A 25,602-nucleotide genomic window follows, 5' to 3' on the forward strand; every position below is an offset into this window, starting at 1 on the left:
CAGGATTGCTTGAACCTGGGAGACTGAGGCTGCAGTGAGCCTTGATCACACCACTGCACTCCAGCCTGGGTGACAGAGCAAGATCTTGTCTCAAAAAAAAAAAAAAAAGACAAGGCCCAAATGCAGAGTGTGAAGGATTTAGCCAGGCAAAAGCAGAAGATGAGATAAAAGAGTGGTCCATGTTCTGAAATGAGGTGTGCAAAGGTCCTGGGGCAGGAGTCCACTTGGTGTTTCAGGGAACAAACGAGGCCTCCAGGCTGGAATGGAAAGACAGCGGCAGGAGATGAAACTCAGTAGGGACAGGATCATGCTGCTGGGGGTTTTGAACTTTATCTTAAAGCTACTGAAGGCTGAGAGAATGGCAGGTTGAGAAATACCCAGGGTAGCTCTGGAAGCCAGCTGCCTGGGTGCCGGACCTGTGTCCATTTTTGTTCATATCTGTGCATTCAGTGCCTATTACAATATCAAGCACCTAGAAGGCACTCCTGAATTTTTTGTTGGATGCATGGATGGATGAATGTGGGGGTAGATAGGTGGATGGGTGGATGGGTGGGTGGGTAGATGGGTGGATGGGTGGGTGGGTGGATGGATGGATATTGGGTGGATGGATGGGTAGATACGTGGGTAGGTGGATGGATGGGTGGATAGGTGTCTATTATTTTCTCCCTATGGTGAGCAAGTCAGTCAACATCACAAAGCCTGTTTCTTTACCTAAAAATATAGAAATAAAAATGGTGTCCACCTCTATGGTCATTGTGAGAATGAAATAAATCATGTTAAAAGCAGAGCCCTGCACATAAGCACTCAAAAATGTTCATCATTTTTTATGTTATTATTAATTCCCTGTCTCCACCATAACAATATAAGCTCTATAATCTGCATATTTTTGTTCATATCTGTACATTCAGTGCCTATTACAATATCAAGTACTTAGAAGGTACTCCTGAATTTTTTGTTGGATGCATGGATGGATGGATATGGGGTAGATGGGTGGTTGGGTGGATAGGTGGGTGGGTAGATGGGTGGATGGGTGTGTGGGTGGATGGGTGGATGGGTGGGTGGGTAGACTGATGGGTGGGTGGGTGTGTGGGTAGATTGATGGGTGGGTGGGTGGATAGATGGATGGTTGGATATTGGGTGGATGGATGGATGGGTGGATGGATGGATATTGGGTGGATGGATGGGTGGATAGGTGGGTGGGTGGATGGATGGATGGATATTGGGCAGATGGATGGATGGGTGGATGGATGGATATTGGGTGGATGGATGGGTGGATAGGTGGGTAGGTAGATAGATGGGTGGATAGGTGGGTGGATGGATGGATGGATGAATGGAAGGGTGGATGGGTGGATGGGTGAATCAGTCAGTGGATGGATTAATCTATCAATCTGTTGATCTCAGGATAAGATTGAGAGAAGCCACTGGATTGAAGTTTACTTTGGGTTGTCATCTGATTTTAACCCTCAGGGTACAGTAGCTAGATTCCTGTTCCCTACCTTCATCCCCCAGATCTTTCTAATACGATGACTACATCTTTATTTCCTTTGTCCACAGGGTTGATAGGCACTCCCAAAAGGGAGACCTGGCTACAGCTCCGAGCTGAGCTGGAAGCTCTCACAGACCTCTGGCTGACCCACTCCCTGAAGGCACTAAACCTCATCAACTCCCGGCAAGTGGCAGCCCTCATTTTCCTCTGTGCCACTGAACTTTCTCGCAGTAGACAGTGGTGGCTCCTGCATGTCCACACTTGGGAGAATTGGACTCCTCAAACTCTCACTTGTACACTTTCCAAATATTTTTTTTTTTTGATATGGAGTCTCACTCTGTCGCCCAGGCTGGAGTGCAGTAGCGTGATCTCGGCTCATCACAACCTCTCCCTCCCAGGTTCAAGCAATTCTCCGGCCTCAGCCTCCTGAGTAGCTGGGATTGCAGGTGTGCACCACCACACCTAGCTAATTTTTGTATTTAGTAGAGATGGGGTTTCACCATGTTGGCCAGGCTTGTCTCGAACTCCTGACCTCAGGTGATCCACCCGCCTCGGCCTCCCAAAGTACTGGGATTGCAGGTGTGAGCCACCACTCCCAGCCCAAATATTTAATAAAGCTTAAGTGCACAAGGCTCAGTGGATACCTTGGAGCATAGCTGAGCTAATAGCGGCAGAGACTTTTCAGGGCCCAACAGGTTTCCAGGTTTCTGGATTCTCCCAAAAGATGAGAACTGGCATGCAGGCTCCAGCTTACTCTATTCCCCACCTCTCCCTCTTGTCCTACACTTGTTCCATATCACTCATTTACATTACCCGCAACTATTTAAGTGTATGGCCCTTGCAATAAACATTTGCTTTTTATATAAGAAAAGTATTCCCCCCATACTACATTTCACTATGTCAGGCAGCTTCAGGCTTAAAAGAGAGGAACAGCCTGAGAATCCTTGGGCCCTAACATACCTGAAGATGACAGCCATAGCCTCCAAGCCTACCAGATTTCCCGCCAACTGCAGGCTCATGCAGCAAGAGGAGGCCTGGCCTTGTGGTCCCTCTGAGTTCTGATCCACAGTCTCCTTTGTCCTTAGGCCCAACTGTGTCAATGTGCTGGTCACCACCACTCAACTAATTCCTGCCCTGGCCAAAGTCCTGCTATATGGCCTGGGGTCTGTGTTTCCTATTGAGAACATCTACAGTGCAACCAAGACAGGTAGGGAGAAGCCACACCTCGGCGGGGATACAGGGTTGGAGGGTGGGGTTAGCTTTCCATCCTGGGAATGGGGTGTTTAAGGAACATGACACCACAGAAATGGATGGAGTGTGCCTATGGCCATGACTCAGATTCCCAAAACAGCCCCCATAGACCACATGCCTTAACCTCTGCTTCTAAAGAAATTGGTTAGGACCACAGTTTTCCAAAGTGTCTGTATGAGTTCAGATACAGGCAAAGCTGCTGTAACAAACACACCCCAAATGCAAGGGCTTGCAAAAGAGTCAAAGCTGATTTCTCCCTAGTAGAACAGACAGAGGTGAGTGATCCAGGCTGGTGGGGTGACCCTGTCCTCAGAGACATCCAGAAACCCAGGTCTCTCCCGTTTTATTTTTCCACCATTTCTTATGGTTTTATTCTCATGTATGGGGTCAAATCAGAGTCCTAGCCCATCCTCATTCTAGCAGGTCTGGTATTTGAAGGCCAAGCTCAGAAGGCTATGTACATTACATTCTACTCACTTCCTGTTAGCCCCAGCTTAGTCACGTGGCCACAAGTAGCTGCCAGGGAAGCTGGGAAATGTAGTCCATAGCTGAGTGATTCATACTGTCACTCAATCTGGAATGCAGTGGCGAGATCATAGCTCACTACAGCCTCAAACTCCCAGCCTCAAGCAATCCTTCCACCTCAGCCCCCAAAGTACTGGGACTACAGGCATGAGCCACCGTGCCAAAATATTTTTAATTAGAAACCTTTTCCATTGTTTTTTCTCTAGAGCAAAAAATAAAAAAAATAAATAATTTATAGTACTTTGGCAGCATTTTCTTGGAGCAATTTTGGTTTTACTGAAGTTCTACGTCCAAACATTATATGAAAGTGCCTTTTGATTTTAAAATTATAGTAGTAGGGGCCAAAATGGTTGTTGAAGATTTTTCAACAAGATCCTGTCTTTTCATTTTTCCCATTTTTCCTGCATACCTCAAGTACCTTTGCAGGTTTATTTCGAATCTCTTTTTTAAATAATATTTTTATTTTTAATTGTGGTAAAATTAAATAATGTAAAATTTTCACCATCTTAACCTTTTTTCTTTTTTTTAAGATGGAGTTTCTCTCTTGTTGCCCAGGCTGGAGGGCAGTGGTGCAATCTCGGCTCACTACAACCTCCGCCTCCTGGGTTCAAGCAGTTCTCCTGCCTCAGCCTCCTGAGTAGCAAAGACTACAGGCGTGCACCACTACACCGAGCTAATTTTGTATTTTTAGTAGAGACGGGGTTTCACCTTGTTGGCCAGGCTAGTCTTGAACTCCTGACCTCAGGTGATCCATCTGCCTCGGCCTCCCAAAATGCTGGGATTACAGGCATGAACCACCGCACCTGGCCATGCACTATACGCTTAAAAATGGTTAAGATGGGTCAGGCGCGGTGGCTCACGCCTGTAATCCCAGCACTTTGGGAGGACGAGGCAGGTGGACTGCCTGAAGTCAGGCAGTTCAAGACCAGCCTGACCGACATAGTGAAAACTCATCTGTACTAAAAATAAAAAAATTAGCAGGGCATGGTGGCGGGTACCTGTAATCCCAGGTACTTGGAAGGCTGAGGTAGGAGAGTCGCTTGAACCCAGGAGGCAGAGGTTGCAGTGAGCCGAGACCAGGCCATTGCACTCCAGCCTGGGCAACAAGAACGAGACTCCGTCTAAAAAAAAAAAAAAAAGGTTAAGATGGCTGGGTGCAGTGGCTCACGCCTGTAATCCCAGTACTTTGAGACACTGAGGTGAGCAGATCACTTGAGGCCAGGAGTTCGAGACCAGCCTGGCCAACATGGTGAAGCCCCATCTCTACTAAAAAATACAAAAATTAGCCAGGTGTGGTGATGCGTGCCTACAGTCCCAGTTACTCAGGAGGCCGAGGCAGGAGAATGGCTTGAACCCAGAAAGTGGAGGTTTCAGTGAGCCGAGATGGCACCACTGCACTCCAGCCTGGGTGACAGAGCAAGACTGTGTCTCGAAACAAAAGTGTCCAGCGCAGTGGCATCAAGTGCATTCAAATGGTTGTGCATCCATTGCCACTTCTACATCGGACAGCTGCAGAGACTTGGGAGCCTGCTCTAACCCCTGCGCTGCCTCCTCCTGCTGTGTTGCCCTGGGCAAGCTACTGACCCTCGCTGTGTTTCCGGCTGTCATCATCCTTCATGTGGGGATGATAACAGGGCTCACCTCAGAAGTTTGCTCAAGAACGAAATGATGAATACCGGGCCTTTGGGAGCACAGCTGCAGGCACCAAGCTCTTAATGAGCGGGTATTGGCTGCAATCCGGGGTCCTCACAGAGCGTTTTTTCTTTCCTTCCTGTGTGCGTGCAGGGAAGGAGAGCTGCTTCGAGAGGATAATGCAGAGATTCGGCAGAAAAGCTGTCTACGTGGTGATCGGTGATGGTGTGGAAGAGGAGCAAGGAGCGAAAAAGGTACTTCTTCCACCTCTCAGACTGCGTTTTCCTGCTCTTTCGAGCACCCCTCGTGGTCTTCAAGGGCTCCTTCCATGATTTCCTCCACTCCCCGTGGCTGGCTGGGTCCTCCTTCCCAGGCTCCTTGCTTGCCAGTCCATTCCATTTGCAAATTGCAGAAGCATCCTGAGTAATTTCCTTCTACAAATCCCCCTCTCTGCCTCTGGCTGCTGCCCCTGGTAGCCCTGGATTGTTTCTGGGACAACTGTTCGGGAGCCTAGAGACGCTCCGGCAGGGCAGGCTGGTGGGGGGCCAGTGCACGTGCATGTGTTTTATTTAATACTTACTGATCATATGTTCCAGCAACCCTTCCCAGTTAATAAAGACAGCATTAAGCTAATGAAAAAGAAAATCCTGCATTTGTGATCTCGGGCCCGTGAGGAGAGGGCAGGGGGTTCTGGTGGCCACATCTCTGTTCTTGGAAAAGAAACAGCTGCCAAAGTCCTGGGTCTGGATCTGTCAACAGCGCCCCAGAGAGGCTGCCACCCCCAACCCGGAGGCCTGGGAAGTGGATTGTTAATGTCACAGACCTTAATTAGGGGGACCTGGTTTCCCCCATCTCTGCCTGGCAGCAAATCCCAAGGAAATGCAAAAATGTTCAGGGTCTCAGCAGATGAAACCCAGAAGAAGAGGGAAGCCCTAGGGTCCTGGGAGAGGGCCCCGGGAGAGAGGAGCTTGGAAGGCTTTGCAGGCACTGTTCCCTCCACCTGGAAGGCTCCTCCCCTTTCCTGGGAGATGTAGTCTCTATTATCCGCCGCCATGAGCCCCGCTAAGAAATGGGAGCTGCTTCTGAGAGAGAAGGGGAGAAGTGATATTGAGGGGCAGCTGCCAGGGTCAGTCGCACTGGTGTGTGGCCAGGCTGTGGCTGGCATCTTGAGTTGCTGACCTAACCCCATGCCCTTCACCACCGTAACTTTATTGCTAACATCATCATTGTACTCAATCCTCCAAAAACTCCTACAAAGTGGGTATCATTGCATCCCTTTTTTTTTTTTTTTTTTTTTAGAGATAGGGTCTCACTCTGGCACCTAGGCTGGAGTGCAGTGGCACAATCTCAGCTTACTGCAGCCTCTACCTACTGGACTCAAGCGATCTTCCCACTTCCACCTCTAAGTAGCTGGAGCTATGGACAGGCACCACCATACCTGGTTAATTTTTTGTATTTTTTTTTTTATAGAGATGGGGTTTTGCCATGTTGCCTGGGCTGGCCTCAAACTCGTAAACTCAAACAATCTGCCCACCTTGGCCTCCCAGAAAGCTGGGATTAGAGGCATGTGCCCGGCCACACCCCATTTTATAGATGACAGAATTTGAGACTCAGAAAGGTTAATTAATTTGCCTAGGGTCACACATCTAGCACATGCAAACCTACCTGTGTCATGCTCCAAACGCCTGGCAGGGAGGAGACGGACTTACGAGTTTCAAACACGGTTGGTTTTCACCCCTGAGCTAGTCAGGCAAGAGTAGAGTCAGCCAAAGAAGACTAGGTACACACCCACCACACACAGAACTCCCATAAAAGTCCCAGTGTCTGAGGCAGAAGCCTCAGAACGTTAGTGAGAAACAGTGTCCACCAGCAGCTCTCTCAGCCTGACAAATGGAAGTCATTAGCCCAGGCCACCGGAAATCTGAGCGGTGTAAAATATGGCCGCAGGACCAGGGGCCTTGACTGTTTCCGCTGACAGTGTTGTTAATATCTCCATTTTAGTGGGTGATTTGTCTCCACCTCTTCACGAGTGATGAATCCACTGGCACTCTGGAACCTTTAAGCCTGGGGTAAAGGCGGCTAGAACATTCTCTTTCTTCCACCTTTGCTCATTCTCTCCCAGAAAAATGAATCACACTCTTTTTTTTTTTTTTTTTTTTTTTTTTTTTTTTTTTTTTTTTTGAGACAGAATCTCACTGTGTCGCCCAGGCTGGAGTGCAGTAGCATGATCTCGGCTCACTGCAACCTCCACCTCCCAGGTTCAAGCGATTCTTGTGCCTCAGCCTCCTGAGTAGCTGGGATTACAGGCATGAGCCACCACATGTGGCTAATTTTTTGTAATTTTAATAGAGACGGGGTTTTGCCATGTTGGCCAGGCTGGTCTCGAACTCCTGACCTCAGGTGATCCGACCACCTCAGCCTCCCAAAGTACTGGGATTAGAGGTGTGAGCCACCACACTCAGCCAAATTACACTCTTTAAAGAGGGCAGGATTGGCCAGGTGGCAACCAGAATCTATCTTTGCAAAGAAAGGAGGGCTTGGCCGGGATGAGGGCAGGGTGGGAATGCTAGGGCAGTGAGAAGGCGTTGAAGAGATGAGAGCTGTTCCCATAGGAGATGGTTTTCTGCTTCCCTTGAGCTGAGAATTGTTTAGAAACTACAGAACAAAGAGAAAAGGATACATTCAGAGGACTTTGCTTGAGAAACTTACCTTCTTTTTTTCCCTCTCTCTCTTCCTCTTTTCATTCCTTCTACGAATATTTCTTGAGCACCTACTATGTGTCAAGAGCCATGCGGTGCAGCAATGAGCATTGCATTCCAAGCTCAACCTTCCTGGGGCCTTTGCACTTGCTGTGTCTTCTACCTGCCCCCACGTTCCCCCACATCTTTGCCAGGGCCTGCTTAAATGACACTCCCTGGAGAGGCCTTTCCTGACCCAGCTCTCAAAAGTAGACACACAAAGCTGCTTTCTACCCTATCTCATTCTGTTTCCTTCCTAGCACTTACCAGGAGATGAACTTATCTTGTTTATTTCTTATCTGTGGGTTTATCTGAGCCTCCAATGAAAGCCCCATAAGTGTTTGTGACCTGTACAGAAGGCCCCACTGGGGTCTGCCCCTGGCATCTTTATAGATCTTCCTTTGCTCACTGAGGGATTCTCAATCTGGGATGCCCTTCCCTTCAGTGACCTGCTAACTATGAAGCACTTATTCTTTTTTTTTTTTTTTTTTTTTTTTTTTTGAGATGAAGTTTCACTCTTGTTGCCCAGGTTGGAGTGCAGTGGCATGATCTCAACTCACTGCATCCTCTGCCTCCTGTGTTCAAGTGATTCTCCTGCCCCAGCCTCCCAAGTAGCTGGGATTACAGGTGGCCACCACCACGCCCAGCTGATTCTTGTATTTTAGTAGAGATGGGGTTTCACCATGTTGGCCAGGCTGGTCTCAAATTCCTGATTTCAGGTAGTCCACCCGCCTTGGCCTCCCAAAGTCCTAGGATTACAGGCGTGAGCCACCACGCCCGGCCTCCTCATTCGTTCTTCAAGGTCTGGGTCTCATGCGCTTCTTGTCCCCTGAGACACCCCCATCCCATTCACTTCTACCAAAAAAGAGGCTGCTTCCTCTGGCTGGCTCCCATGACATTTTATTTACACCTGCCTTAATGATTTCTTTACATTCTTCCTAAGGTAGTCTTATTTATTATCTTTTAAACTACTGAGAAACGCCAGCATTCTTTCTTCCATATACATGCACATATATATACAATTTGTCCTGCATCCTTCCTTTTTCCTATTTACCTAGATATGTCCCTAGCTACTCAGGAGGCTGAGTCAGGAAAATCAGTTGAGCCCAAGAGATCAAGGCTGCAGTGAGCCATGATCTGCATTCCAGCATGGACAACAAACTGAGACTCCATCTCTAAAATTAAAAAAAAAAATTAATGAAACGAAATTCAGCTGGGCACAATGGCTCATGCCTGTAATCCCAACACTTTGGGAGGCTGAGGTGGGTGGATCGCTTGAGCCCAGTAGTTTGAGACCAGCCTGGTCACCATGGTGAAACCCTATCTCTACAAAAAATACAAAAATTAGCCAGATGTGGTGGCATGCATCTGTTGTCCCAGCTACCCGGGAGGCTAAGGTAGGAGGATCGCTTGAGCCTGGGAGGTTGAGGCTGCAGTGAGCAGAGATCATGTCACTGCACTCTAGCCTGTCTCAAAAGAAAGAAAGAAAGAAAAAAAAAACTCCACATCATGACAATAACTTGAAGCAGGTACCACCTGCTGCAAAGAAAAGGAAAAGATAAAAACGAAAGCTATAAAGAAAACAGATTAGTGTCATCTGACCTGGCTAGCTACAGTGGCCTGCTGAAGACTCTCCAAGACCAGCTCTGTTTGTTCACAGTGGAGACTGTCAATGCTGGGGAGGGGTTCCAGCACCGAGCTGTGACTTTCTTCTTGAAGTAACAGGATTCAGAGCACTGCAGCCTCCAATTCCCGGCCTCAAGCAATCCTCCCGCCTCAGCCTCCCAAAGTGCTGGGATTACAAACGTGGGCCACAGTGCCCAGGCAAGAACAAATTTTTAAAAAGGAATCGCTTTCCCATTGTGCAATTTAACACCATGTCAGTGCACCGCCTAAGACCACGCTGGTACCAACAGAGGCGAGAGGGTCAAACAGCGAACACGCTGGGCAGTGCTGGATAAGCCCGTCAGAGCAGGCTCTGAATAGAAATGGTTGGCCATACTGGTGGGTACTGGCCAGATGTGGGTCTGCCAGCAACATCAAGTGCCCCATAGTTTGGGAAGTCCCCACGTGCTAGACTTAACTGGGTTGACTTCTCACATGCCCTCTAACCACAGGCGTGGAACCCGGGGGCAGGGGCGGGGCCATAACCTTGTGGCTGGTGTTCTGTGTTTCAGCACAACATGCCTTTCTGGCGGATATCCTGCCACGCAGACCTGGAGGCACTGAGGCACGCCCTGGAGCTGGAGTATTTATAGCAGGATCAGCAGCATCTCCACCTGCCATCTCACCCTCAGACCCCCTCGCCTTCCCCACCTCCCCACCGAGAACTCCAGAGACCCAGATGTTGGACACCAGGAAGGGGCCCCACAGCCGAGACGACGTGTCCAGTGACCATCTCAGAAGCCGTCCATCAGTCCAAATGGGGGTTCTGAGAAGGAAAGTACCCAACATTGGCTTCGGAGTATTTGACTTTGGGGAAAAGGGCTGGCTCGGAGTCTAGACTCTTCTGTAAGACTCACAGAACAAAAGCAAGGAATTGCTGATTTGGGGGGTGCCTGGTGATGAGGAGGGGATGGGTTTGTCTTGTCTTCTTTTTAATTTATGGACTAGTCTCATTACTCCGGAATTATGCTCTTGTACCTGTGTGGCTGGGTTTCTTAGTCGTTGGTTTGGTTTGGTTTTTTGAACTGGTATGTGGGGTGGTTCACAGTTCTAATGTAAGCACTCTATTCTCCAAGTTGTGCTTTGTGGGGACAATCATTCTTTGAACATTAGAGAGGAAGGCAGTTCAAGCTGTTGAAAAGACTATTGCTTATTTTTGTTTTTAAAGACCTACTTGACGTCATGTGGACAGTGCACGTGCCTTACGCTACATCTTGTTTTCTAGGAAGAGGGGGATGCTGGGAAGGAATGGGTGCTTTGTGATGGATAAAAGGCATTAAATAAAACCACGTTTACATTTTGAAGTGGGGTAGGATGTGGTTACTTTATTACCACTCTTGAGGCTTCCAAATGTGTTGTCCTTTTTAAAGACTTTATCAGTTGCAGAAGAATAGAATCCAACTCACACTGGCTTAAGCCAAGAAAAATGGGGTGGGGGGAGGGAGGAAGGAGAAGAGGGAGAAAAGGAGGGAGGCAGAAAGGGAGGGGAAGAAGGACAAAGGGACAAGTGTCTCCAGGAACTTTAGGTGGTATCTGTCTGGATCCGGGTGGTCAAATGAATTTCTCTCATGTGGCCGTAATTCTCAGGCAGGCTGTTCCCTGTGTGGCAAAGACGGCTCTACGAGTCCTTCAGCAAAACCACACAGACAGAAAGAGACCACATTCTTCACCGTGGTGCAGCGAAAGCCTCAGGACTGTAACTCGTTGGCCAAATCTGAGGCTTAGGCAACTCACGGAGCTGGATTTAGGGTTGGATCCTGTCACGAACAGCAAGTTGAACAAGCTGATCCTCCAAGGGAAAGAAAATCAGTGAGCTGTTATTCAAAGAATTGGGGGAATTGAGGGTCGGGCTGGAAAATGCAACTGACTTCCGTTCTAATGGTAGGACTTCATTTCCCAGTGGATGGGACATGAGTGAAGGATCCAGTTTAAGGGGCAAGGAGGGAAATCTGGAGAAGTTCTGAAGACATCTGGAGCACTGCCACTACCCATAGTGGACCAGGCAGGACCTGGGTCTATCTGATTGGATGCTAAGCAGGAATATAGGCTCCTTCCTTATTAATGCTGGTAAAATCGTGGATTATCAGTCAGCTGACCCATGTCATGGGAGATGGAGATCTCTGCCACTGGAGTCTCAGAGCTAGAATCTCTGATGATTAGAAAACTGTCACCGGCCAGGCATGGTGGTGTATGCCTGTAATCCCAACACTTTAGGAGGCCAAGGCATGTGGGTCGCTTGAGCCCAGGAGTTTGAGACCAACCTGGGCAACATGGTGAAACCCCGTCTTTACAAAAAATACAAAAATTAGCTAGGCATATAGCATGCGCCTGTAGTCACAACTACTCAGGAGGCAGAGGTGGGAAGAGCTCTTGAGCCCAGGAGGTTGAGGCTGCAGTGAGCCAGGTTCACACTGCTGCACTCCAGCCTGGGTGACAGAGCAAGACCCTGTCTCAAAAAAAAAAAAAAAAAAAAGGCATCACTAAGGGTCAGATAGACTCCCTTACTAGACCCTGAGCTTCTCAGGGGGTAGGTACTGTTGGTTTCATCTCTATATCCACAGAATCAAGCACAGAGCCTGACACAAAATAGAATCCCATTATAGATGGCATAGAATGAAGGATGGAAATATGAATGGAACCACAGCCAGATGGATGATAATATGGGTGAATGGCCATTTGGACAAATGGATAAAATGGAGTGTTAAACAGTTGAGTACGTGGGTAGATGAATGGTTGGTTAGGTGATTAGATGATTAATTGGAAGGTGGGTGGGTAATTGGGTGACTGGAAGATGGATAGATGAATAAATGGATACCTACTTGGGATGACTAGATGGATAGTTGGATAAATCATGGGTATATGGACGAACAGATAGATTATTGGATAGATGACCAGATCGATAACCAAGTAGTTGTGTGGTGACATGAATGAATAGATGGTGGTTTGGATGAGTGAATGGCTGGGTGGTTTTACGGAAATATGGATAGATGGTTAGGTGGGTGAGTTAGTGGATAAATGAGTGGGTTGTTTGGACAGGTAGATGGATGGAATGATTGATGGTTGTTGGTGGTTGATAATAATATTATGATGGATATGTGGACAGTTTAATGGGCAGGTGGATGGAAAGTTAAATGGAAATGAAGTGTGATGGTTAGATGGATAGAGAGTGGAATGGAAGTGAAGAATCTTTAGCATTGCCTAAAATACCTGAGTCAGCCTCACTAATATCTGTCAGCTTAGGTTTCTTCTAGAATGAGTGGAGGAGCTTTACTGGATAAGCTGACTTCTAGCTGGAGTGGATAATGAGACTAGAGTAGAGCCACCCAGTCACCAACCATCCACTGGTAGTCAGTGATGTGAATACTCCTGAATCCCCCTGACTCCCCATTCTTTAGCACCCTTGCCACACAGGAACCCACTTATAATCATGATCTACCCATCTCTCCCTTCCTGCTACCATCAAAACCTGCTGTCAGGGAAAATTCTGTTTAGGGTCCAACAAAGGGTAAATTACTTATTAAGAAAATTTTTTCTTTTAGTAGGATTTCATTAGAAACACAAGTAGAATTTCAGCCATGCACACAGGAGGTTTTGGGTGAAACAGATCTTCCCCTTGACCCTGAAATTAAACTACGTAGGTGATCAACTACTTTTTTGTTGTGATGAGTCAATGTCAAAGACTAGTTCTGACAAAAGTTAGCAGTCCACAGTCTTTAAGGTAAGTGTTTTAACTTGAATTCCTTCTGGATGACTCAGAGCTTCTGCTGAGTAAGGATAGTATTTTTCTCATCTCTGTATGCTCATTGCCCATCACAGAGCCTGGCACAGATATGCCACTTAATGAATGTTGGATGGGTGAATGAGTAGATAAGTGGTGGATGGATGGATGGATGGATGGATGGATGGATGGATGGATGGAGAGATGGGTGAATAGTAGATGGATGGATGGATGGATTAGTGGATGGTGGATGGATGGAGGGATGGGTGAATGAGTGGATGCATGGATGGATGTAGATGGATGGATGGATAGATGGATAGGTGAATGAGTGGATGGATGGATGATAGGTGGACAGATGGGTGGTTAGGTGGATAGATGGATAGATGGATGACTGGGATTTCATGGTCCCAGGCTTCTAGACTTCACTGTTTCCCCAGCGGTGTCTTGCTGCTCTCCAGAACATTCTTAGAAGTAGAGTAACAGGACTATTCAAGACACACATACAAAAGCTTTTGGACTCTCAGAAGTCCAACCTTGACTCCAGAACTTCCTGAGCAGCCCAGCAGAAGGATAGAGACCCACAAAAGTGCCCAGGTTGACCTCAAGGATGAAAGAATTTGCATATCCAAGGGATTTAGAAGTCAGAGAGCTACCATTTGGATTTTTTCCATTGCAAATGACAGAAACACTATCAAAATGGCTTAAACAAAACAGAATTCATCTGCTCACTTGACTAAAAGATTCAAGAATGAGTGACCTCAGACCCCTTCAAATGCAAAACTCAAGACCCATCTTTAAAATTCAATTTATTTCTCTGAATCCCTGGACTCTGTTTCCTCTCCTTTGGCTTCGTTTGTAGGCAACATCCACATTCTTAGAGTGGAAGCTGTGGAAGACGTAATCCAACAAAGATTTTCATGAGTAAAGCATTGCTTAATTTTTAAAAGATAACTGCCTAGGACAGATAATCAGGTTAAATGTATTATGTGAGTTAATGTCCTTTAAATATTTTGAGTTGTTTCTTCCTGAGTTACTTGCAGCCAAAAGCGCTCCAACTGATATAGCACATAATAAATAGCATTACTAGTTTTTTTTTTTTCTTTTTTTTCTTTTTTTTTTTTGAGACAGAGTCTTGCTCTGTCACCCATGCTGGAGTGCAGTGGTGTGATCTCGGCTCACTGCAAGCTCTGCCTCCCGGGTTCGTGCCATTCTCCTGCCTCAGCCTCCTGAGTAGCTGGGACTACAGGTGCCTGCCACCACGCCCGGCTAATTTTTTTGTATTTTTTAGTAGAGACAGGGTTTCACCGTGTTAGCCAGGATGGTCTTGATCTCCTGACCTCGTGATCCACCCGCCTCAGCCTCCCAAAGTGCTGGGATTACAGATGTGAGCCACCGTGCCCAGCCTTTTTTTTTTTTTTTTTTTTTTTTTTGAGACAGTCTTGCTCTGTCACCCAGGCTGGAGTGCGATGGCATGATCTCGGCTCACTACAATGTCCACCTCCCAGGTTCAAGCGATTCTCCTGCCTCAGCCTCCTGAGTAGCTGGGATTACAGGCGCATGCCACCATGCCCAGCTAATTTTGTATTTTTAGTAGCGACAGAGTTTCACCATGTTAGCCAGGCTGGTCTCGAACTCCCAACCTCAGGTGATCTGCCCACCTCAGCCTTCCAAAGTGCTGGAATTACAGGCATGAGCCACAGCACCTGGCCAACACTTTATATTTTTTAAAATGCAACTGGTTCTTGTTTTTTGGTTGGTGGTGGTTTTTGGTGTTTGGTTTTGTTTTGGTTTGGTTTTGGGGGATTTTTGTGTGTGTGCGTTTTCTGGTTTTGATTGTTTTTTAGACAGGGTCTCACTCTTGTTACCCAGGCTGGAGTGCAGTGGCACAGTCATAGCTCACTGTAACCTCAAACTCCTGGGCTTAAGCGATCTCCCCACCTTAACTTCTGGAGTAGCTGGGATTACAGGCATGAGCCACCACACCCAGCTAATTTGGTTTTAAAACTTATAAAAAAATACTCAGGCCAGACATGATGGCTCACACCTGTAATCCCAGACCTTTGTGGGGGCCAAGGTGGGAGGATGGCTTGAGGCCAGGCGTTCCATACCAGACTGCAACATAGTGAGACCCCATCTCTACAAAAAACAAAAATAAAAAAATTAGCCAGGCCTGGTGGTACACGCCTGTAGTGCACGCTACTCAGGAGGCTGACGCAGGAGGCTCACTTAAGCCCAGCAGTTCAGGCTGCAGTGATTTATGATTATGCCACTGCACTCCAGCCTGGATGACAGAGTGAGACCCTGTCTCTAAAAATAAAAATAAAATATAAAAAAATGTCAGTGCAGTGGCTTACACCTATAATCCCAACACATTGGGAGCCGGAGGCAGAAGGATCACTTGAGCTCGGGAGTTCAAGATCAGCCTGGGCAACATAGTGAGACCCTGTCTCCACAAATAATTTAAAAAATTAGCCAGGTGTGACAGCATGCACTTATAGCCCAAGCTACCAGGGAGGCTGAGGTGGGAGAATCACTTGAGCCCAGGAGGTCAAGGCTGCAGTGAGCTGTGATCATGCCACTGCACACCAGCCTGGGTGACAAAGCGAGACCCTGTCTCAAAAAAAGAAAAGAAAAAAGTTCAACCTCACCTATAACAAGAGAAATGCAAATACGTTCATTGTCCACATTAGTTGGACAAAAATCTGAGAGTTTCATGACTCACGGTACTGATGAAGCTCATATATTGAAAACGATGAATGGATTACCTATAAGAGCACCTTTTTTTAAATTTTTTTAATTTTTTATTTTTGTAGAAACAGGGTCTCACTATGTTGCCCAGGCTGGTCTCAAACCCCTGGCCTCAAGTGATCTTCCCGCCTCAGCCTCCCAAAGTGCCGGGATTACAGGCATGTGCCATCTTGCCTGGCCCTATAGGAGCATCGTAAAGGTCAGATGTCAGTTTTGGAGACTTCTCTGTCAATAACCTGTGGCCCTCAGGAGCTTGTTTCCAGCCTTGGTTTCCCCCAAACAGCATCACTAGCCCTTTCTCTGTGTGCCCCACAGCATTGGGTAAAGGCTGTGGCCATGTGGGATGTAGCAAGAAAGACCCTTCTCTGAGGCCCCATTGTCCAACACAAGGTGGTCTCAGTGGTCTGAGAGCCAGGGACCCCTGGGAAAATCCTGTTAACAAGTTTCAAAGAGGCTGGAATATATCCACTCATCCATGCTCCTACAGCTCACCCATTCACAATTTTCAGTGTGATGAAGGCACTCTCCCACCTGTCACTCATATGTCTGATTTCATCAGCCTCCTGTAAGCAGCTGCATTCCTTAATTTCTTTTGAGACCAAGTCTCACTCTGTTGCCCAGGCTGGAGTGCAGTGGCATGATCTCAGCTCACTGCAACTTCTGCCTCCCGGGTTCAAGTGATTCTCATGCCTCAAGCCTCCCAAGTAGCTGGGACTACAGGTGTGAGCTACCACGCTCAGCTAATTTTCATATTTTTAGTAGAGATGGGGTTTCACTATGTTGGCCAGGGTAGTCTCGAACTCCTGACCTCAGGTGATCCACCCGCCTCAGCCTCCCAAAGTGCTGGGATTACAGGTGTGAGCCACCGCACCCGGCCCCTTCATTTCTTTTGTATCCTTTTAAAGTTTCTTTATGGAAATATGACAATATATTTCTTATTTCTTCTTCATTGTTACACAAAGGGTGGCATGTGCCATTGGCTTTTTTTCACTTAGCGATGTGTTTTGGAAATAGATCCGGGTTATGCACAGGTCTGTTATTTACCAGGTGCTCGTTTCAACTTCTGGATGCAGAGGTGAAAATGAGCAGATGAGGTCCCGACCGTCACAAAGTGCAGGGAACCGGACTGAAAGCGGCCCTATTGACACTGGGAGGTAGCCTTTGCCGCCAGTCAGCTGGGTCCCACAAGAAAAAAGGTTTTCGCCAGCCAGGAGCAGGGAACCAGCACACACCCCAGGTACAGGCTTCATTCAGGCTTGAGCCACAATCTGTGTCCCCTTCCAAGATCTGCCTTGAGGTCAGCAGGAGAGGAGGGGTCGTATGAGCCTCCGCAGGGAGGGGAAGGTGGCTCTTGGAGGCCTACTTTAGCCAACTTCAAGAAGACCTGTTGAAAGGGGTCCCAAGAAGAACTTCTTGACAGAGATGGCAGTATCTCTCCAGGGAACATTCAGGGGCCATAAAGGGGTCTTGGTGCTTGCCCAGGAGGTAAAATATTGAGGATCTTTTTGCTGGCTGAGATTTTAACTTTTAGGGCACACAGCATGGTACTGTTAGCTCAAAGAAGGAGGCTGCTTTCTTCCCCAGTACAGAGTCACTTCAGACAGTGCCTGGAGTCCGGAAGCAAGCATTGGGCTGATGCAGTGCAGACTCCCCCGAAAAGCATTTGCTGTGGACTCGCTGGTCACCTCTAAGGAGGTGACACTTGAACTCAGACCAGTACAACAAGAAAGGCCAGGGACAGCATTCCAGGGAGAGGTGCAGGAAATACACGGTTCCAGGCAGGACAAAGGAAGGAAAGGAAGCCGGTGTGGCTGGAGGCCAAGGCCAAGGTCAGAGGGTGCGAGCATGATAGGGCGCAAGGGCAAGGCCCGGCCAGATGTCGTGGGACCCTATTCATTTTGGATTTTAAATTGTATTCTAAATCCAGTGACAAGATATCAGAAGGTTTTAAGCAGGGTGCTTAAAACCAATCAGGTTTTAAACAGGAGGGTGCTGTGATATGATTGATATTCTCAAAATCACCCTGGCTGCCATGGAAAGAATGGCTAGAAGGGGCAGGATGAAGCGTCTGGGCAAGGGATTCCTTCATACATTTTAAATTTTTTTTATTTTATAATTAATATAAAGTCTATTGCACAAATCTCAAATCTCAAGTATTTTTACGTATGATTATGCTGGGATAATTACAGCACCCAGATCAAGATGGAAAACGTTTCCAGGCAAAAGGCTGGCTCCCTCGCACCCCTGCCCAGTCTATATCCGCATTCCATGACTGTTCCGGTTCCTGTCGCTAAGGTAGTTTGGCCAGATCTAGAACTTCATATAAATGGACTCAGAGCGTAATCTTTGGTGCCTGGCTTCTTTGACTCAGAATGTTTTTGAGGTGTACCCATGTTGTGGCACGGACCTGTGGTTCATTCTGGCAAGAGGAGAATTCGCGTTAAAAACGATGGACCATTTTTCCCTAATATTTTGAGCCCCATGATGCAAGCTCAGCGCCCGAGAAGCTGTGCTCATCTGCAACCACCAGGGGGCAGTGCGGCCCCACAGCTGACCCAGCCGCCCGCAGGTGCCACTTGAAGTGGGACCCGGAAAGAGCAATAACGCAAGCCTTCCGAGAAAGGATTCTCAAGGCGTCTGCTTTGGGCTGCGCCGGGCTACAGGGATTGCTCTGATGATACTGCAGCACCGTCGACGATATGTTAGGCCCAAGAGGTCATGGTAAGGTGACCTTCTACAGTGACCATAGTGGTGGCCTCGGTTGACACAATGTCTATGCAGGAGGCAGATGGACGCTGTGGTGGCCTCGAGAGTGGCCCAGCCACCTACAGGGCTGGGAAACGCTGTTCCTGCACTCTGCCCAGCTTTAGACATGGGCCGCGCCAGTGTTTAATAATGTAATTGTAACAATGGCTTCAATTGTCTGGGAGAAATGTTAGGTTGGTAGGTTGGTTGGTTGGTTGGTTTGAGATAGGGTCTCACTTTGTTGCCCAGGCTGGAGTCAAGTGGTGCGACCGCAGCTTCCTCGACCTCCCAGGCTCAAGTGATCCTCCTACCTCAGCCTCCTGAGTAGCTGGGACTACAGCCGTGCACCACCACACCTGGCTGAATTTTTTGTATTTTTTGTGGAGATTTTGCCATGTTGACCAGGCTGGTCTCAAACTCCTGGGCTCAAGCAATTCACCCACCTCAGCCTCCCAAAGTGCTGGGATTACAGGCATGAGCCACCGAGCCCAGCCGGATTTATTTTTATATCCTGAAGTTCATCTGAGAGTGATGATAATCCGGCTCTAGCCAAATGCTGATTTTATAATTCAACCATTTGGCCGTGTGCAGTGGCTTACACCTATAATTCCCAGCATTTTGGGAGGCTGAATCGGGAGGATCGCTTGAGCCCCAGAAGTTTGAGGCTGCAGTCACAATCACATCACTGCCCTCCAGCCTAGGTGACAGAGAAAGGCAAGACCATGTATCAAAAATCTCAAAAAAAGGCTGAAGCAGGTGGATCACTTGAGGTCATCAGTTCGAGACCAGCCTGGCCAACATGGTGAAACCCCGTCTCTACTAAAAATACAAAAAAAATTAGCTGGGCATGGTGGTGCATGCCTGTAATCCCGGCTACTCGGGAGGCTGAGGCAAGAGAATTGCCTGAACCCAAGAGGCGGAGATTGCAGTGAGTCGAGATCACGCCACTTCACTCCAGCCTGGGCGACAGAGCGAGACTCCATCTCAAAAAAGAAAAAAAAATAAATTCAACCATTAAGTATTTGGTATTTGTTTGGGGTTTTGGTTTTATTTTGAGACAGAGTCTCGCTCTGTCGCCCAGGCTGGAGTGCAGTGACATGATCTCGTCTCACTGTAATCTCCGCCTCCCGGGTTCAAGCGATTCTTGTGCCTCAGCCTCCCGAGTAGCTGGGACTACAGACGCATGCCACCACACCTGGCTAATTTTTGTATTTTTAGTAGAGATGGGGCTTCGCCATGTTGGCCAGGCTGGTCTTGAACTCCTGGCCTCAAGTGATCCTCCCGCCTCAGCCTCCCAAAGTTCTGGGATTACAGGTGTGAGCCACAGCACCCAGCCAAGTATTTGGTGTTTGGTAAACTCCAGCTCTAGGTGACGGGGGAGCCTCTTTGCCCTTGCATCCCCTACCCAACTCCATGGGGATCTGGGCCCACAGAGACCTACCCACCTCTCCCTCAGCCCCTGAAGTCTACTGGCCCCCTTGTGGGGTAATAAGAAATGCATATTACATATTACATCAAGACCCAGTACAGCACATACATATGTGTGTGTATAAATAGGAGTGTATGTATATCATGTATGTGTGTATAACTCAGTTTCACAAAGCAATGCTTACCAAACAACTGTGACACATTCTATAATTTTTCCATCCTGCTGTTTTTCAGTGATGCAGGTTCCAATCTGCAAAATCAATTTCACAACCCATGGATTGGAAACCACTGGTTTAGAACAAGGATTGGCACATAAGCTCATCCAAGTGATTGTTTTTATAAGCCCCATTTAACAGAGGGTGAAACTGAGACTCAGGAGGTGTCGTGGCTTGCCTGTGATTCACAGCTGGAGGCGGGCAGAGCTGAGACTCCGATCCTGCACTCTCTGACTCAGGTTGCAAACTCTGGTCCACAGATACATTTTATTACTCTTCACATGATTTTTTTCATACTTTGACCCGATTATATAAAACTTGGGTGATTTCACTCAAAATGTAAATTTTCAACTTCTCTAAAATTCAAGTGGATCCCTTGGCCTGCATTTGCACATGAGCAGCTAAAGCCATCCCATGGCCACCCCTGTGAGCTGACTCGGGGGCTCTCCAGGTTGACCCGTTCGCCACAGTCCTCACCATGCTGTGTTTTTTGTTTTTTTAATTTTTTTTTCTTTTTTTTGAGACAGAGTCTCGCTCTGTTGCCAAGACTGGAGTGCGGTGGCACGAGCTTGGCTCACTACAACCTCCAACTCCTAGGTTCAAGCAATTCTCCTGTTTCAGCCTCCCGAGTAGCTGGGATTACAGACAGGCACCACCACACCTGGCTGATTTTTTGTATTTTTATTAGAGATGGAGTTTCACCATGTTGGTCAAGCTGGTCTCGAACTCCTAACCTCAGGTGATCCACATGCCTCAGCCTCCCAAAGTGCTGGGATTACAGGCGCGAGCCACCGCGCCCGGCCACCATGCTGTGTTTTCTCCCTGACACCCCGAAGTCAAGCATCGGTTGCCATTGATCCACACACCAGCCAGCTGTTATTCTCATAGTGGAGAAATATTTTTTCTGTCAAAAGTGGAAAAATAAAAACTAAACCAAAGGGCTTACATATTTCAAGAAAAGCAATGGTGGAACACGGTGGCTCACACCTGCAATCACAGTGCTTCGGGAGACTGAGGTGGGAGAATCATTTGAGCCCAGGAGTTTGAGACCAGGCCGGGCAATATAGTGAGACCCCCATCTCTACAAAAATAAATAAGTAACTGGGCGTAGTGGTGTGCACTTGTGGTCCCAGCCACTCGGGAGGCTGAGGCAGGAGGATGGCTTGAGCCCAGGAGGTCGAGGTTGTAGTGAGCTATGATTGTGCCACTTTGCAGTGAGCTATGATTGTGTCACTGCACTCCAGCCTGGGCAACAGAGGGAGACCCTGTCTCAAAAAAAAAAAAAAAGATTAAAAAAATGCACAGATTATTCAAACACGTGTTTTTGTTGTTATTGTTGTTGTTTGGTTTTTGGTTTTTTGAGACGAAGCTTCGTTCTTTCTCCCAGGCTGTAGTGAAGTGGCGCGATCTCGGCTCACTGCAACCTCCGCCTCCCAGGTTCAAACAATTTTCCTGCCTCAGCCTCTCAAGTAGCTGGAATTACAGGCACTCGCCACCACGCCCGGCTAATTTTTGTATTTTTAGTAGAGACTGTAATGCCTAAGCTTGTTTTTACTAACCTTGTTTTTAGACTCTCCCTCTTTCCTTTAATCACCTAGCCTTAGTTCCACCTTAATTGACTCTCCCTTAGCTAAGAGAGCCAGACAGACTCCATCTTGGCTCTTTCACTGGCAGCGCCTTCCTCAAGGACTTAACTTGTGCAAACTGACTCCCAGCACATCCAAGAATGCAATTCACTGATAAGATAATGTGGCGAGCAATATCCGCAGTTCCCAGGAATTCGCCTGATTGATAACGCCCAAAAAAAGCCCCGCGTCTATCACCTTGTAATAATCTTAAAGCCTCTGCACCTAGAACTGTTTACTTTCCTGTAACCATTTATCCTTTTAACTTTTTTGCCTACTTTATTTCTGTAAAATTGTTTTAACTAGACCCCCCCCCTTTCTAAACCAAAGTATAAAAGAAAATCTAGCCCCTTCTTCAAGGCCGAAAGAACTTTAAGCGTAAGCCATCTCTTAGCCGCCGGCTAAATAAACAGACTTAATTCGTCTCAAAAGTGTGGTGTTTTCTCTAACTCGCTCCCGTGCAACAAGACGGGGGTTTCACCATGTTGGCCAGGCTGGTCTCGAACTTCTGACCTCAGGTGATCCATCCACCTCGGCCTCCTAAAGTGCTAGGATTACAGGCGTGAGTCACCGCGCCTGGCCTCTAACATGTTTACTATACAAAGAAAGCATATCTATGTCAGTGTTACCCCAGCCTGTTTCCCTAGCTTATATCCCCTGCCTGGGTCCTGGGAGCAAACCCCAGCTGAACTCACTACCCTATGTCTACGTCTTGTCTCTTTTGTCCACAGTTGTGTCCCCAGCACCTGAAACACAGCCCAGTGAAGAGTAAGTCCCTAGTTAATAATTAACTTGTGGCTTTTATACAAAAGTTTCTCCAATGATGACAAAGATATAGTCATGGTTAAGAGCAGGCATTTTTTGGGCGGGGCGCGGTGGCTCACGCCTGTAATCCCAGCACTTTGGGAGGCCGAGGCGGGTGGATCACAAGGTCAGGAGTTGGAGACCAGCCTGGCTAACATGGTGAAACCCCGTCTCTACTAAAAATGCAAAAATTAGCCAGGCATGGTGGCTCATGCCTATAATCCCAGCTACTTGGGAGGCTGAGGCAGGAGAATCGCTTCAACCCGGAAGGCAGAGGTTGTGGTGAGCCAAAGTTGCGCCACTGCACTCCAGCCTGGACAACAAGAGCGAAACTCTGTCTCAAAAAAAAAAAAAAAAAAAAGAGCAGGCATTATTTGTGTCATTAGACTGGGTTCAAGTCCAGCTTCGGCTACGCACAAGCTGTGTAGCCTCAATCCCTCTGGACCTGATGTCCTTTGCTGCAAAATGCAGGTCATTAGGATGCAATGTGCAGAAATTGCCTGGAGCACAGGAGGTGCTGTGTATGTAAATGAAGTTTCCCTCTCGGGTTCATCAAAGTGAACCAAGGTCAGTACTCAGCTGTCTTAATAAAGCTTGTAGTACCCAACTGGCCCAGGCTTAGGCTATCTGTGGGACCAGGAAGGCCACAGTTTTCCATTAACACCACAATCTGAAAAGAGTGCCCTGGGCAGATTAGAGCCCTAGACCAGGTGGCAAAGCCACGGGTTTGATCCCTGGTCACATGTATGAGAACTGGCTTGTTCAACATCTGATCATTCTTCTGGGGTGGTTTTCTGAACTAAACTAAAAACCGGCTGGGCCCAGTGGCTCACACCTGTAACCACATTACTTTAGGAGGCCAAGATGGGAGGATCACTTAAGGCCAGGAGTTCTAGATCAGCCTGGCCTATAAGGTGAAAACCTGTCTTTACTGCAATTACCAAAATCAGCTGAGCATGATGGCACACGCCTATAATCCCAGCTACTCAGGAGGCTGAGGCACGGGAATCGCTTGAACCCGGGAGGCGGAGGTTGCAGTGAGCCGAGATCACGCCACTGCACTCCAGCCTGGGTAACAGAATGAGACTCTTGTCTCAAAAAAAAGAAAAACAACTTATTCCTCAGGCTCTATTCAGCCAGGCGTCTGATATATTCAAGGTTCCACCCATCAGCTGCATTTGGTACGGATTAAGTGGGGAGAAAAGTGACTGCACGTGGCGGTGTGGACCAGCCTAGGGCCAGCGTGGTTGTGGCCTCGGTGCATCTGTTTCTTTGCAGCCCAGTCCTGCACGGTGGCTTCGGTGGCTTCCTGGAAGCTCAGACCTCATGGCTTTCTTCAGCCCTCCATGTGAGTCCGGAAATACTGTTTTGGGGGTTTGTTTGTTTTTGTTGTTTTGTTTGTTTTTGTTCTTTTGTTTTGTGTTTGTTTGTTTTTTGAGACGGAGTCTAGCTCTGTCGCCCAGGCTGGAGTGCCATGGCATGATCTCGGTTCACTGAAACCTCTGTCTCCTGGGTTCAAGCGATTCTCCTGCCTCAGCCTCCCAAGTAGCTGGGATTACAGGTGCCTGCCACCACGCCCAGCTAATTTTTGTATTTTAGTAGAGATGGGCTTTCACCATGTTGGCCAGGTTGGTCTTGAACTTCTGACCTCAAGTGATCCGCCTGCCTCAGCTTCCCAACGTGCTGGGATTATAGGCAGGAGCCACCGTGCCTGGCTTGTAAATACTGTTAATGCATCAGTGAGATTGAGCCCATGAGTTTGGGAGCAGTCATGCACAGATGATGGGTATTAGATCTTACATAATTGTGGGAGGAGCTGGGGAAGCAGGGGTCTGAGGAGAGATCTGGAGTCACCAAGAAGGTGATCTGAGAAGCTGTGGGGCAAGTTCAGAGGACTCAATGGGGATCTGTGGCCTCTGCAGTCCAGCGGCTGGTGACAGGCCAGGTGCTGACATGCAGGAGTCAGGAAGATGACCTGGACGCAGAGTGGAGGAGAGCAAGGGCAAGCTGGAGCCTGCTGGCGCCACTGCAGTTGTCTGTCCCACATCTAACTACAGCGACCTTGCAACAGTAGAGGCTGTGGCTTCCTTACAGCCTTGGAAATCTCACACAGCTCCTCTTTTGGTCAACTCTAACTGGGAACCACTCGAGAGCCAGGATTCTGGGAAATGTGGTTCCAGCCTAGCCAGGTTGGCACGGAACTGACCAGTACACTTACTAATGCCTTGTGCTTAAACTGGTTGGGTGAATTCTGCTCTCTACAACTGACCAGGCTGACAGAGACCTTGGACAGTTCTGCAGTGGGTACTGTCATCGTTTTGTCCACACAAGACCTTTTGTTTGAACACTTTCCCAACTTATGAGTCTGCACCAGAAGAGGCTTGAATCTCACTTTCCCAGCCTCCTTTGCAGTTAGAAGGTTAGCTATGTGGCCTAGGCTCAGCCAATCACATACACCCAGGTGGCACCCAGGCTCAGCAATCAAATACCCCTGATATGGTTTGGCTCTGTGTCCCCACCCAAATCTCATCTCGAATTGTAAGCCCCATGTGTCAGAGGAGGTGCCTGGTGGGAGGTGATTGAACTGTGAGGGTGGATCTCCCCCTTGCCGTTCTCGTGATAGTGAGTTCTCACAAGATCTGATGCTTAAAAGTAAGGCACTTCCCCCTTTGAACTCCCTCTCCTGCCACCATGTAAGACATGCTTTGCTTCCCCTTTGCCTTCTGCCATGATTCTAAGTTTCCTGAGGCTTCCCCAGCCCTGCAGAAGTGTGAGTCAGTTAAACCTCTTTTCTTTATAAATTACCCAGTCTCAGGTAGTTCTTTATAGCAGTGTGAAAATGGACTAATACAACACCTAAATGGTGCTTAGGTTCAGTCAATCAGATGCACCCACATGGGACCTGGGCTCAACCAATCCAGATACATCCACATGTGAAAGCAATGGAAGTGGATTCTGATGCATGGAATCCAATCTGGCAAGGAGGCAGAAGGGTCGTGCCCAGCGTCACTAGAGAAAGTCG

At 47.9% G+C, this 25,602-nt stretch overlaps 1 protein-coding gene across 5 annotated transcripts in view, besides 2 other annotated features; it reads left to right on the forward strand.

Moving 5' to 3' along the window:
• Window positions 1-10,601, forward strand: part of EYA2 (EYA transcriptional coactivator and phosphatase 2) — a 294,002-nt gene extending 283,401 nt beyond the window's left edge. For 4 of the 5 annotated variants that reach the window (NM_005244.5, XM_017027721.3, XM_005260327.3 and 1 more), the window contains 4 exons: window positions 1,555-1,669; window positions 2,572-2,693; window positions 5,048-5,148; window positions 9,810-10,601. In NM_005244.5, coding sequence (NP_005235.3) covers window positions 1,555-1,669; window positions 2,572-2,693; window positions 5,048-5,148; window positions 9,810-9,890 — 419 coding nt within the window. In that variant the 3' untranslated portion in view covers window positions 9,891-10,601. The remainder of the gene's footprint in view (window positions 1-1,554; window positions 1,670-2,571; window positions 2,694-5,047; window positions 5,149-9,809) is intronic. The other variant, NM_172110.4, reaches the window with a different exon arrangement.
• Window positions 3,098-3,392: an enhancer, noted in NCBI's record as "tiled region #12423; HepG2 Activating DNase unmatched - State 4:PromP, and K562 Activating DNase matched - State 5:Enh". NCBI's record gives its function as "activates a minimal TATA promoter and a strong SV40 promoter by Sharpr-MPRA in HepG2 and K562 cells {active_cell/tissue: HepG2 | K562}" and the evidence as "EXISTENCE:reporter gene assay evidence [ECO:0000049][PMID:27701403]".
• Window positions 23,401-23,450: an enhancer, noted in NCBI's record as "active region_17980". NCBI's record gives its function as "activates an Ori minimal core promoter by ATAC-STARR-seq in GM12878 lymphoblastoid cells {active_cell/tissue: GM12878}" and the evidence as "EXISTENCE:reporter gene assay evidence [ECO:0000049][PMID:35858748]".

This window comes from Homo sapiens, chromosome 20 (assembly GCF_000001405.40).
Source record: "Homo sapiens chromosome 20, GRCh38.p14 Primary Assembly".
Taxonomy (NCBI): Eukaryota; Metazoa; Chordata; class Mammalia; order Primates; family Hominidae; genus Homo; species Homo sapiens.